The sequence below is a fragment of the Homo sapiens genome, chromosome 1 (assembly GCF_000001405.40).
Source record: "Homo sapiens chromosome 1, GRCh38.p14 Primary Assembly".
NCBI classification, from domain to species: domain Eukaryota; kingdom Metazoa; phylum Chordata; class Mammalia; order Primates; family Hominidae; genus Homo; species Homo sapiens.
This window is the reverse complement of record NC_000001.11, coordinates 52,683,964-52,698,505: the sequence shown is the minus strand read 5'-3', so window position 1 is coordinate 52,698,505 and position 14,542 is coordinate 52,683,964. Positions and strand designations below refer to the sequence as shown.

At 46.3% G+C, this 14,542-nt stretch overlaps 1 protein-coding gene across 1 annotated transcript, besides 2 other annotated features; it reads left to right on the top strand.

Moving 5' to 3' along the window:
• Nucleotides 40–179: a silencer, noted in NCBI's record as "silent region_897". NCBI's record gives its function as "represses an Ori minimal core promoter by ATAC-STARR-seq in GM12878 lymphoblastoid cells {active_cell/tissue: GM12878}" and the evidence as "EXISTENCE:reporter gene assay evidence [ECO:0000049][PMID:35858748]".
• COA7 (cytochrome c oxidase assembly factor 7) lies at nt 159–14,057 on the top strand. Its single transcript, NM_023077.3, has 3 exons — nt 159–285; nt 5,639–5,779; nt 10,338–14,057. Exons 1-3 carry the CDS (start codon nt 180–182, stop codon nt 10,784–10,786), a joined length of 696 nt encoding a protein of 231 aa, NP_075565.2. The 5' UTR covers nt 159–179; the 3' UTR covers nt 10,787–14,057.
• Nucleotides 10,343–10,543: a silencer, noted in NCBI's record as "peak230 fragment used in MPRA reporter construct". NCBI's record gives its function as "represses an SCP1 promoter by STARR-seq MPRAs in K562 erythroleukemia cells {active_cell/tissue: K562}" and the evidence as "EXISTENCE:reporter gene assay evidence [ECO:0000049][PMID:32103011]".
• Nucleotides 14,058–14,542: the final 485 nt, after the last annotated feature.

Genomic DNA, 14,542 nt, shown 5'->3' with positions numbered 1-14,542 from the left:
TAGCCCTGGAAGCGTGGCTGCCAGCGCCCTTAACGGCGCGATGGCTGCTGGGAAGCACAGGCTCGCTTGGCTCGCCCCGGGATCCCGGGAGAGCGCCGCGGTTGGCGTCGGCGTCAGCCCCACGCCCCGCCCCGCCCCCTCCGCCGGCTCACGTGACCGTCTTTGGGCCGGCGCGAACCATGGCCGGCATGGTGGACTTCCAGGATGAGGAGCAGGTCAAGTCCTTTTTGGAGAACATGGAGGTGGAGTGCAACTACCACTGCTACCACGAGAAGGACCCGGACGGTGAGCGGCTCCAGCGCAGCCCGGCGACGCGTCGGGGAGGGACGTGCCCGGAGAGGTCTGGTCTGCGACCTCTGAGAGGCTGGAGAAGGAATCACGTGGCGGGCGGGGGACGGGGTCTGTGGATCGCGGTGACCGCGTGTGTTGGGAAGGGCGATGTGTCCCGGGAAGACCGAGCCAGGAGGCCGGGGCGGGTAGGAAGAGACGTGCTGGGGCTTTTGGGTTAGGGACTGGGGATCCATCGGTGAACAGATGAAACTCCCTGCCCTCGTGGAGCTTCCAAGCTAGTGCGGGGAGTCGGGCAATAAGCCTCAGGTAATTCATGAAATCGTGTTCGAAAGTAGTAAGTACCGGCCGGGAGCCGTGGCTCACGCCTATAATCCCAGCACTTTGGGAGGCTGAGGCGGGTGGATCACGAGGTCAGGAGATCGAAACCATCCTGGCTAACACGGTGAAACCCTGTCTCTACTAAAAATACAAAAAATTAGCCGGGCGTGGTGGCAGGCGCCTGTATTCCCAGCTACTCGGGAGGCTGAGGCAGGAGAGTGGTGTGAACCCGGGAGGCGGAGCTTGCAGTGAGCAGAGATCGCGCCACTGCACTCCAGCCTGGGCGACAGAGCGAGACTCCGTCTCAAAAAAAATAAATAAAAAGAAAGTAGTAAGTGCCGTGGAAAAAAGACTGGGTGAAGGGTGTCAGGAGGGCAGGAGGGCAGTTTTAAATTGAGTGATCAGGGAAGATCACTGAGAAAGTGGCAATTGAATAAAGCCTTGAAGAAGGTAAGGGAGTGAACCATGCAGTTCTTACCATAGGTAACAGCTGGCGAAGACGCCCTGAATCACAAATGTGTCCTGTGTGTTGTGTGAACATTGAATTGACTTAAGAGTATAGGTGGATGGTGGTGACCAGAGGGGTCCACCCAGAGCAGCTAATACCTTTGGGTGGTTTTCTTCTTCTTGCTTTATTTTTATTTTTTGTATTTTCTTTCTTTTTTGAGATAGTATGTCACTACGTTGTCCAGGCTGGTCGCAACTCCTGGGCTCAAGTGATCCTCCCGCCTTTGATTACAGGCATGAACCACTGCACACTGCCTACTTTTTAATTTTTTTGTTTTTTTGAGACTGAGTCTCACTCTGTCACCCAGGCTGGAGTACAATGGCTCGATCTCAGCTCACTGCAACCTTTGCCTCCTGGGTTAAAGCAATTCTCCTGCCTCAGCCTCCCGAGTAGCTGGGATTACAGGCACCCACCACCAGGCCTGGCTAATTTTTGTATTTTCGTAGAGACAGGGTTTCACCATGTTGGCCAGGCTGGTCTCGAACTCCTGACCTCAAGCAATCCATCTGCCTTGGCCTCCCAAAGTGCTGGGATTACAGGTGTGAGCCACCGTGCCCAGCCTTTTTTTTTTTTTTCTTTCAAATAAAGGACTGGTGTGGTGGCACAAGCCTGTAATCCTAGCTCTTTGGGAGGCTGAGGTGAGGTGGGAGGATCACTTGAGGCCAGGAGTTCAAGACCAGCCTGGGCAATATGATGAAACCCTGTCACTACTAAAAAAAAAAAGAAAAGAAAAAAAGTGGCACTGGCCCTACCTTCTAATAGCTTGCAGTTTAGTCAGTTTAGTTTGCAGAAATGACATAGCTATTCCTTGAGGCTAATCCGTAACATAGACCATAACACAACCATATACATATCATAACATAGTCATGACACAGAGTTGCTCTGCAGTATGATGGCTTGAAAAGAACCTGGGGTTGGGCCGGGCACAGTGGCTCACGCCTGTAATCCCAGCACTTTGGGAGGCTGAGGTGGGCAGATCACCTGAGGACAGGAGTTCAAGACCAGCCTGACCAATATGATTAAACTGTCTCTACTAAAAATACAAAAATTAGCCGGACGTGGTGGCATGCGCCTGTAATCCCAGCTACTCGGGAGGCTGAGACAGGAGAATGGCTTGAACCTGGGAGGCGGAGGTTGCAGTGAGCTGAGATCGCGCCATCACACTCCAGCCTGGGCAACAAGAGTGAAACAACGTCTCAAAAAAAAGAACCTGGGGTTGTTCTTTGAGAGCTGGTCCATGTCCTAAGTATAGAAAGAACTTAGAGGAATTGGGGTCACTAAGGAACAGGGTGGTTAGGGAAGACTTTGAGGGGAGGTCTGGAGGGCTGGGCAAGTGTTGATTAAATGGAGGAGAGGGTGGGAGAAGAAAGTGCTATCTTTTGGAAGGTTGAAGTCAGGATTTAGTACGTTTGAAGCGGGAGTCTGGCCCACAGTATGTCAGGGCTTGAATGCCAGGGTAAGGAATATAGACTTTGCTCTGTAGGCAATGGAGAGCAAAACATGTCTGAGAAGCAAGTTCTTGGAATTGGGAAGGGTGGATATATCAAAAGGACTGGCTGCAGCACTTTACGAGACCTGAGAAGAGGCTATAGTTACCGTAGCGACTGGTGTAGTAGTTCCTTGCATGTCCCACTTTCTTACCTGGATAACTGAAGTCGCCTTCTAACCTGTCCCTCTCTTTGCACTTTACTCCCTTAAAATCCATTTCTACTCGCAGATAAACTGATATTTTAATTTCAATTTTGTTATGTTAAATATTAGATTTTAAAATAACCTATTTGTTATCAATGCCCAATTATATACCCTCACATAATTAAATTCCTCCATACTCAGGCATATATGAACATATATACCAGAGTAACGTTTTTGTTGGGGGGTGGGGTTGTTTGTTTGGTTTTGGTGGCTTTTTGGTTGTTTGTTTTCTGAGACAGGGTATTACTCTGTCGCCCAGGCTGGAGTGCAGTGGTGCAATCTCAGCTCACTGCAACCTCTGCCTCCCAGGTTCAAGTACTTCTCCTGCCCCAGCCTCCCAGGTAGCTGGGATTACAGGCGTGTTCCACCACGCCTGGCTTTTTTTTTTTTTTTTTTTTTCCCTGAGGCTGAGTCTTGCTCTGTTGCCCAGGCTTGAGTACAGTGGCACGATATCAGCTCACTGCAACCTCTGCCTCCCGGGTTCAAGTGATTCTCCTGCCTCAGCCTCCCAAGTAGCTGGAATTACAAGCGTGCGCCACCAAGCCTGGCTAATTTTTGTATTTTTAGTAGAGACGGGATTTCACCATGTTAGCCAGGCTGGTCTAGAACTCCTGACCTCGAGTGATCTACCCGCCTTGGCCTCCCAAAGTGCTGGGATTACAGGCATGAGCCACCACACCTGGCCTGAATCATATTACTTATTTTCTTGAAACCCTCCAGTGGTTTACTGTTTCAGTTGGAAAAAATCATAACTCCATCCTATGTTTCACGAGGCCTATGGTCTGGTCCCTACCTTCCTTCTTCATTTCCTGACCCTCCTCCTTGGTTCAGCCATGTTGTACCTTATTCGTGCCAAACTTATTCTTTCAGGTCTTTGTATTTACTGTTCCTTGTGCCAGGACTTTGTGCCCCTGCCCATTTTATTGTCTTTTAATTTCATTTTTTATTTTTTATTTTTAAATTTTTTCCAAATCCCTGCCCCACTCCCATTTCATTGTCTTTAAATAGCTAGTGCTTTCTTGTTATTGAGGTCACAGTCCTTGGTGAGCCCCTCCCCAGTGGCTCAGTCTTTGTTAGCCATTCACCCAAAGTTGACAGCAAACAGTTATCCTGTTTTACTTCAGTCATAGCATTTATGTATTTATTTGTATAAATTTAAGGGGTACAAGTGCAGTTTTGTTACATGGATATATTGCCTGGTTGTGAAGTCTGGGCTTTTTTTTTTTTTTTTTTTTCGAGATGGAGTTTTGCTCTTGTTGCCCAGGCTGGAGCGCAATGGCGCTATCTCGGCTCACCGCAGTCTCCGCCTCCCGAGTTGAAGTGATTCTCTGCCTCAGCCTCCCGAGTAGCTGGGATTATAGGCATGCGCCACCATGCCCGGCTAATATTTTCGTATTTTTAGTAGAGACGAGGTTTCTCAATGTTGGTCAGGCTGGTCTAGAACTCCCGACCTCAGGTGATCTGCCTGCCTCGGCCTCCCAAATTGCTGGGGAAGTCTGGGCTTTTAATGTAACCAACCATCACCCAAATAATGCACTTGTACCTGTTAGGTAATTTTTTATTCCTCACCATCCTCCCACCCTTCCCAATCTCCAGTGTCTATTATTCCACACTCCCTGTGTCCATGTGTACACAGTATTTAGCTCCCACTTATAAGTGAGGACATGCAGTATTTCACTTCCTGTTTCTGAGTTGTTATAACATTTATTACTGTTTGAATAAATTTTGTTCATTTATTTATTTATTGTATTTCCTCCCCTAGAATGTAAATTTTAGGAGGGCAAATGAGTATATTCTCAGCATCTAGAACCATGTCTGGTACATAGATGCATAGAGATGCTCAAATATTTGTTGAACGAAAATGAATGAGAGATATATGTTGTCACTGGGGGTAAAGAAGAGGGGAGAGAGATTAAGGAAAGAGGTTTACTGGGACTGGGAGACTGCCAAGGAAGTAGAGCCTATTTTCATTAGAAGCTGCCGCCTCTACTCTTTCTCTTTGGCTTTCATGTTCCTACCCTGGCTGAGGAGTAAGCTATAGTCATTACAGCACCCTTTTCTTTTTCTTTCTTTCTTTTTTTTTTTTTTTTTAAGACAGAGTCTCGTTCTGTCACCCAGGCTGGAGTGCAGTGGCGTGATCTCGGCCCGCCGCAACCTCCGCCCCCTGGGTTCAAGCGATTCTCCTGCCTTAGCCTCCCAGGTAGCTGGGATTACAGGTGTGCGCCACCACACCTGGCTAATTTTTTTATATTTTTCCACTCCTGGCTAATTTTTTTGCATTTTTAGTAGAGACAGGGTTTTACCCTGTCCAGGCTGGTCTCGAACTCCAGACCTCAAGTGATCCTCCTGCCTCAGCCTCCCCAAGTGCTGGGATTACAGGCATGAGCTACCGAGCCTGGCCCAGCACCCTTTTCTTGCTGCTACAAAGACTAGCCTATGAGCCTTTTAGGTTTTCACTGTTTTTACCATTTAACTTCATGAGAGATTCCAAAACTAGCAAAGTTTCAATCATGGAAGTCAGTGGATACTTGGGCGTGGCTGACAGGGAGCAGAAGGGCTGGTGAGTGGTAGAGCCAATGCAGGGGCTGAGGTCTCCCCAAGCCATGCATTGCTCAGTCCATGGCTGTGGGGAGACAATGCCATTTGTAGGAATGGCTAAACACCACCTACATTCTTTGTGGTAAGGCCAACTTGCCACACATCAGGAGGACAGGGGCTGTCTTAAAAGACATCACCTGGCCTGCCACACCTGGGCACCCCCTACCCCCAAGTCCCCACTGCGAGCAGCAGCCCCAGACATGAAGAACAACCCTTGCCCTCTTCTCGCAGGTTGCTATCGGCTGGTGGACTATTTGGAAGGGATCCGGAAGAATTTTGATGAGGCTGCCAAGGTGTTGAAGTTTAACTGTGAAGAGAACCAGCACAGTGATAGCTGCTACAAACTGGGGGCCTACTATGTGACTGGAAAAGGTAAGGAGGGCCTGCCTTTTGGGTCCTTGTCATTGATAGCAGTGCTGGCCTCACACCTGAGCCCCATGATAAGCTCTTGCAGAAGGGTCTCGCAGGCATTGGGAAAGTGCATTGTAGGAAGATGGAGAGGTAGGAGTTCAGCAGAGTGATGGGGGGAAGAACACAGCCTTTCAAGTTAGGTAAACCTTAGGGAATGCTATTGGCAAGTAGTGGGACCTTGAGCCAATCACTTCGACTCTGTGCCTCAGTTACATCACCTGTAAATTGGAGGGAAATAGTACTTGCTTTGTAGGGTGGTGAGGATTAAGTAGGACAGCATAGGAAAAGGCATCAGCATGTGCTTGGCACAGAGTAAGGGGTCAGTAATTATTGTCTTCCTTCTGTCTTTTCTCCTTGTACTCTAATTGTAGTTATCACTGGCATAGTGTTTACATTATCTATGGCTAAATAACAAAATAGTTATTTTTGTTCACCTCAATAGTTTCTGTGGGTCAAGAATTTGGGAGTGGTTTAGTGGGGGTACCTCAGGGTATCTCATGAGGTTATAGTCAAGACATTGGCCAGGGAGCCAGGGCTGGAGACATTGGAAGGCTTGACTGAAGTTGGAGTTTCCAATTCTAAGATGACTCACTCTGATGGCTGGTAGCAGAGGCCTCTAGTTCCTTACCAGCTGTTATTGGGAGAGCTCAGATCGTCATGACATGGTTCGCTCCATGGGCTGCTTGAGTGTCCTCATGACATGGCGTCTGGGTTCCCCCAGAGTGAGTAATTTAAAGGAGACAACAAGATAGAATCCACAGTGTCTTCTATGACCTATCTTTGGAAGTCACACACTTTTCATTTCTATCACATATTTATTAGATGTAGCCTACACTAAGGGGAAGGACTTAAATTCCACTTCTTGAAGAGGAAGGAATATTAAAGAACTTATGGACATATTTAAAACCACCACAGGCCAGGCACGGTGGCTCATGCCTGTAATCCCAGCACTTTGGGAGGCCAAGGCGGGTGGATCATGAGGTCAGGAGTTCAAGACCAGCCTGACCAACATGGTGAAACCCCATCTCTACTAAAAATACAAAAAAAAATTAGCTGGGCGTGGTGGCGCGCACCTGTAATCCCAGCTACTCAGGAGGCTGAGGCAGGAGAATCACTTGAACCCTGGAGGCAGAGGTTGCAGTGAGCTGAGATCGCGCCACTGCACTCCAGCCTGGGCAACAGAGCAAGACTCTGTCTCACAAAAAAAAAAAAAAAAACACACACACACATAAATAAGTAATAGGACCTTTGACAGGCAGCTTTTTTTTTTTTTTGTGACAGGATCTTGTTCTGTTTCTCAGACTGGAGTGCAGTGATAAAATCATAACTCACTGCAGCCTTGAGCTCCTGGGCTCAGGCAATCCTCCTGCCTCAGCCTCCCCAGTGGCTGGAACTATAGGCACGTGCCCCCATGCTTAGCTAATTTTTTATTTTTTGTAGAGACAGGATCTCACTATGTTGTCAGGCTGGTCTCAAACTCCTGGCCTCAAGCAATCCTTGCACCTTGGCCTCTCAAAGTGCTAGGGTAAGGTGTGAGCCACTGCACCTGGCCAAGGATGTCTTTTTTTTTTTGAGACAGGGTCCCGAGACAGGGTCCCACTCTGTCGCCCAGGCTGGTGTGCAGTGGCATGATCTCGGCTCACCACAACCCCCTGGCTCAAGTGATTCTCCTGCCTCAACCTTCCGAGTAGCTGGGATTACAGGGGCGTTTGCCACTACCACCCAGCTAATTTTTGTATTTTTAGTAGAGATGGGGTTTCGCCATGTTAGCCAGGCTGGTCTTGAACTAACCTCAAACGATCCACCCGCCTTGGCCTCCCAAAATGCTGGGATTACAGGTGTGAGCCACCGTGCCTGGCCCCATTTTAATTTTTTAAACTAAATTTTAGGCCAGGTGCAGTGGCTCACTTGAGCCCGGGAGGTGGAGGCTGCAGTGAGCCGAGATTGCTTCACTGCACTCCAGCCTCGGCCACAGAGCAAGACTCTGTCTCTAAATAAATAAATAAATAAATAAATAAATGTAAATAAATGAAAATAAAAATGATTCTAACCTTTTAATATTTTTTCTAAACTCTTGATAGCCCTAGTGGCTCATTTAGGAAATGTCACTATGGGCTAGAAATATTAATTTGTAGGTCAGCAGTTTCCTTAGTTTCACTTCAGTTTGGTTTTCTTCTGATAAATTCAAGTAAAATCAAAGTTAAATTTTTTACTTACAAGTAGCATTTGTGATCCAATTTTTCCAAACACTTCTATCTAGTATCCATTCAACCAGCCAGCATTTAATCTGAACACATGCTACAAAGATGACTGGAATGGTGTTCACTTAATGATAATGATGGTTATTTCTAGGTGGATTTGGAATGGTTACTTAAAAGAATAATGTTAAAATGTTTATATTTTTTGAGATTGAGTAATGGTACATGGAGATTTGAAGTTTTGCACACACACAAACAACTAAAAAAAGTGAGCCCTGCCACCACTTCTACTTAAAATTATTTGTTAGTGATTTCCCATTGTTTTTAAGATTAAATTCAGGGGTCTTAATGTGACCCTGCATGATCTGGTCCCTGCTTGCTTGCCTGCCTTGCACTATACTTTTCCTCCATGCTCTTTTTACACTTAAAATCATCTTTTTTTTTTTTTTCTTTTTTTTTTTTTGAGACAGAGTTATGCTCTGTCATCTAGGCTGGAGTGCAATGGCGCGATCTCTGCTCACTGCAAGCTCCACTTCTGGGGTTCATGCCATTCTTCTGCCTCAGCTTCCTGAGTGGCTGGCATTACAGGCCCCTGCCACCATGCCCAGCTCATTTTTTTTGTATTTTTAGTAGAGATGGGGTTTCACCATGTTGGCCAGGCTGGTCTCGAACTCCTGACCTCGTGATCCACCCGCCTCAGCCTCCCAAAGTGCTGGGATTACAGGCGTAAGCCACCGCGCCCAGCCTGATTTTTGTATTTTTGTAGAAATGGGGTTTTACCATGTTGGCCAGGCTGGTCTTGAGCCTCCTGATCTCAGGTGATCCGCCCACCTCGGCCTCCCAAAGTGCTGGGATTACAGGCGTGAGTCACCACGCCTGGCCTCCTGTGTATTTTAAATCAATTACTTAGAACAGGGGTATTCAATCTTTTTGCTTTCCTGGACCACATTGGAAGAAGAGTTGTCTTGGGCCATATATAAAATACAGTAATGATAGCTGATGAGCTTAAAAAAAAAATCACAAAAAAAATCTCATAGGCCAGGTGAAGTGGCTCACGCCTGTAATCCCAGCATTTTGGGAGGCTGAGGCGGGCGGATCATGAGGTCAGGAGTTCAAGACTAGCCTGACCAACGTGGTGAAACCCCGTCTCTACTGAAAACACAAAAATTAGCCTGGCGTGGTGGCATGCACCTGTAATCCCAGCATTTTGGGAGGCTGAGGCAGGAGAATCGCTTGAACCCTGGAGGCAGAGGTAGCAGTGAGCCAAGATCACGCCACTGCACTCCAGCCTGGGCGACACAGCAAGACTCCATCTCAAAAAAAAAAAAATAATAATAATAATAATTTCATAATGTTTTAAGAAAGTTTATGAATTTGTGTTAAGCCGCTTTCAAAGCCATCCCAGGCCCATGGGTTGGACAATCTTGACTTAGACTATCTAATACAATGTAAATACTGAGTAAATAATTGTTCTATTTTATATATTTTGTATTTTTTAATTGTATTGTTATTTTTTCCCTAATATTTTTGATGTGTGGTTGGTTGAACCCATGGATATGGAGGGCCCACTGTATGTTTAAATTAATAAACAATTAAGTGCTTGTCATATGCCATGTTCTCACTGTAACCCCATGAGGTAGATATTATTATCATTCCCAATTTTCACCTCCTTTACCTGTTTGAGTTTCCTCATAAGGTATCATCTGAATAAAAGATTCTACGGCTGAGAAAGCTAGGAGGTCTGTGCACTATGCCAGGCTACCTTTCATGCTGCCTGAGCTCATAGTATGGACATTTTTTTTTCTTTTTGAGGTAAAGTCTTGCTCTGTCACCCAGGTTGATCTCGAATTCCTGGCCTCAAGCAATCATCCTGCACAAAGTGCTAGGATTACAGGTGTGAGCCACTGTGCTCAGCCTTAAACTTTATTCAGGAATTGTTGTTGGCCAGGTGTGGTGGCTCACGCCTGTAATTCCAGCACTTTGGGAGGCCAAGGTGGGAGGATCGCTTGAGTCCCAGAGTTTAAGACTAGCCTTGGCAACATAGTGAGATCCTTTCTCTACAAAAAAATTTAAAAATTAGCCAGGCATAGTGGTTGGTGTGTGCCTGTAGTCCCAGCTACTTGGGGAGGCTGAGATGGGAAGATTGCTTTAGCCGGAGGTTGAGGCTGCAGTGAGCCGTGATCATGCCAGTGCACTCCAGCCTGGTTAACAAAGCAAGACCCTTTCTCCAAAAAAAAAAAAAAAATTCACTGACTTTGGCCTGAGACATTTAGGTTGTGCCCTGGCTTGGGTTTATTTTTTCCTACTTTCCTTCCTCTCAGGTGGTCTGACCCAGGACCTGAAAGCTGCCGCCAGGTGCTTTTTGATGGCGTGTGAGAAGCCTGGAAAGAAGTCAATAGCAGCATGTCACAACGTTGGCCTCCTGGCACATGATGGACAGGTTAATGAGGATGGCCAGCCTGACTTGGGAAAGGCCAGGGACTACTACACAAGGGCCTGTGATGGTGGCTATACTTCCAGTTGCTTCAACCTCAGTGCCATGTTCCTGCAGGGTGCCCCAGGCTTTCCCAAGGACATGGACCTGGCATGTAAATACTCCATGAAAGCCTGTGACCTGGGTCATATCTGGGCCTGTGCCAATGCCAGTCGCATGTACAAGCTGGGGGATGGTGTTGATAAGGATGAGGCCAAGGCCGAGGTGCTAAAAAATCGAGCCCAGCAGCTACACAAAGAACAGCAGAAAGGTGTCCAACCCTTAACATTTGGGTAATGTGGTCCACCCTCCCTCCCAGGCAACAAACTGCTTGAGGCTGGCAGCTCCTGTTTCTGAAGACTGATGCAGCCCTTGAAGGTCAACCTGCTGGAGCAAAAAAACTTGGGACTTGAATTTGTAGCTCCATTTACATGGATCCATTGCCCCAGCTACTGGAGTATAGCCTACAATGTTTATTTCAGTCAATATTCCTTTATCTGGGTGTTCTGTACAATGTTTATTACAGTCAATATTCCTTCATCTGGATGTTCTGTGAAGATAGCCATGTTTATGGGGGTCTTAGTTTTCAAACTCTGGCAACTCTGTGAAAAATAGGAGCAAACTAGAGAGCCCTGGAGATTGGTAGTAGGGAAGGGAGGATAGCAGGAAGTTTGAAAAATTAGCAGCCCCGGGGCCTAAAGGAATCAGCTGTCATCATTTTCATCATTATTATTTTGGTTAGGATGGCTTGAAAATCAGAACGTATCTTGGTTTACGTAATTGAGGTCTTAAAGAACTAAGAACAGTTAAATAGTCACAACTACCACCCTCTGACTTACATAATCATTGGTGTGGGCTTCGTTTTGCCTTTAGAGTCACATCTTTCAGTAAATTCACAGAGATCAAGAGGGACGTGCAACATACAGCTTAAAGGCTGTTATGCTTCAGGGTTGCTGAAGAAGATGAAACATCAGCCTGCCATCGTCTAGAAGAGACATTGGCAGTTAAAAATTAGCACCTCCAGTGTAGTCGCCTGGCACTGCCCATCATGCTGAGGGAGCAGATTCTTCCCAAGGCAGCTTCAGCTAGGAGTTTGTAAGCAAGGACTTTGTGACACATTTGTCCCCTGGAACTGAGCCTTTTTAACTGTCCCTGTGAATGAACAATTTTGAGTGACCTACGGTTTGTGTTAATTAGTGTTCTTTCCAGATTCCAGGTACCGTAGAGAGTATGTTCTTTGTGGTGGTTGTGCCTTTTAAGAACATTTGTGGCCGGGCACGGTGGCTCACGCCTGTAACCCCAGCACTTTGGGTGGCCAAGGCGGGTGGATCACGAGATCAGGAGATCATGACCATCCTGGCTAACACGGGGAAACCCCATCTCTACTAAAAAATACAAAAAATTAGCCGGGCGTGGTGGCAGGCGCCTGTAGTCCCAGCTACTGGGGAGGCTGAGGCAGGAGAATTGCTTGAACCCGGGAGGCGGAGCTTGCAGTGAGCTGAGATTGCGCCACTGCCCTCCAGCCTGGGCGATAGAGTGAGACTCCGTCTCAAAAAAAAAAAAAAATTTGCTTTTTCTGTTGTCTCCCCAGCTTGTCACCAGGGGGCGAGCTTGCCATTTCCCTGCTGGTAACAATACCATTCTGTCACCATCTACTGTTTTAGGCTTCCGTTTTGCAGCCGTCCTGAAAGGAAGGCTTGCTGTGTAAATGAAGGCTTGTGAGCACAGCAGCCAGCCTCTCAAGTTGATAGAGGACAGGGACTTCCCCAAGTGCACAGAGGAGATTTCAAAAGACATCAAATTCACTTTTTAAAAATGTAAAGTAGCTTTTGGTGTGCTTAAACTAGGTCAGGCCAGGCGTGGTGGCTCATGCCTGTAATCCTAGCATTTTGGGAGGCCAAGGCAGGTGGATCACTTGAGGTCAGGAGTTCGAGATCAGCCTGGCCAACATGACGAAACCCCTTTCTCTACTAAAAATATAAAAATTAGCTGGGCGTGGTGATGCATACCTGTAATCCCAGCTACTTCGGAGGCTGAGGCAGGAGAATCACTTGAACCTGGGAGGCAGAGGTTGCAGTAAACTGAGACTGTGCCACTGCACTCCAGCCTGGGCAACACAGCAAGACTCTGTCTCAAAAACAAAAACAAAACTAGGCCAGGTGCAGTGGCTCACGCTTGCAATCCCAGCACTTTGGGAGGCCGAGGCAGGCGGATCACGAGGTCAGGATTTCGAGAACAGCCTGGCCAACATAGTGAAACCTCGTATCTACTAAAAATACAAAAATTATCTGGGTGTGGTGGTGGGCACCTGTTGTCCCAGCTATTCAGGAGGCTGAGGCAGGAGAATCGCTTGAACCCAGGAGGTGGAGGTTGCAGTGAGCCAAGACCATGCCATTGCACTCCAGCCAGGTAACAGAGTGAGACTCTGTCTCAAAAAAACACACACACACACACACACAAAACTGTAGGTCAAAAAACATGAAAATATGTTCAACATCACTAATTAGGGAAATGTAAATCAAAAACCACAATGAACTCTTAAAATTCAACAGTAAGAAAACAACCTGATTAAAAACAGGCCAAAACCCTTAACATATCTCAGCAAAGAAGATAGACAGGTGGCAAATAAGCATATGAAAAGATGTTCCATATAACATGTCATCAGGAAAATGCAAGTTAGAACAACAGACCACTATACAACTATTAGAATGGCCAAAATCCAAAGCACCGACAGCATGAAATGCTGGGAAAGTTGGAGCAACCAGAACTCTTATTCCTTGCTGGTGGGAACGCAAGATGGCACAGCCACTTTGGAAGACAGTTAAGCAGTTTCTTACAAAAACTAGGTAAGCTCTTACCATGTGATCCAGCAATCTTGCTCTTTAGTATTTACCTGAAGGAACTGAAAACATGTCCACACAAAAACCAGCACATGGATGTTTATAGCAGCTTTATCTATAATTGCCAAAACTCAACCCAAAATGTCTTTCAGTAGGTAAATGGGTAAATAAATTGTGGTGCATGTAGTCATTATTCAGTGCTTAAATCAAGCTATGACAAATTATGAGTTATCAAGCTATAAGAAGTCACAGAGGAACTTAAATGAATGCTACTAAATGAAGCCAGTCTGAAAAGGCTTCATATTAAATGATGCCAACTATATGACACTGGGATGTATTCTGGAAAAGGCAAAACTATGGAGACAGTAAAAAGCAGTGGGTGGGGGAGGGGAGGGAGGAATAATTGGAGCACAGAAGATTTTTAGGGCAGCGAAACTACTCTGTATGATACTATAATTATAAATACCTGTCATTGTACATATGTCCAACCCCCTAAAATGTACAACACCAAGAGTGAACCCTAATGTAAACTGTGGACTTTGAGTGATAATGATGTGTCAGTGTAGGTTCATCAATTACTGCAAATGTACCTCTTTGGTGGGAGATGTTGAAAATGGTGGAGACTATGCATGTGTGGGGACAACAACTATATGGGAAATCTCTGTACCCTCTCAATTTTGCTGTAAACCTAAAATTGCTCTAAAATATAAAGTCTATTAAAACCACAATGATATTGCCTCATATCCCATTAGGATGGCTACTATTAAACACCAAAACAAAGTAAGTGTTGTCAAGGATACAGAGAAATTAGAACCCTGTGAACTGGTGCAGCTCCCCCAAAATGAAAAACAGAATTGCCGTTTGATCCAGCCATTCCACTTCTGGGTACATATCTGTGTTAGGCCATTCTTGCATTGCTATAAAGAAATACCTGAGACTGGGTAATTTATAAAGAAAAGTTTAATTGGCTCAGGAAGCATGGTGCTGTGCATCCTATTGGCTTCTGGTGAGGCCTCAGAAGCTTACAGTCATGGTGGAAGGCACAGGGGGAGTCAGTGTATCACATGGTGAGAAGGCAAGAGCAGGAGCAAGAGAGTGAGCAAGGGGAGATACCACACACAAATCTCCTGAGGACAGCACCAAGGGGAGGGTCCTAAACCATTCATGAGAAATCCTCCCCATGATCCAATCACCTCCCACCAAGCTCCACCTC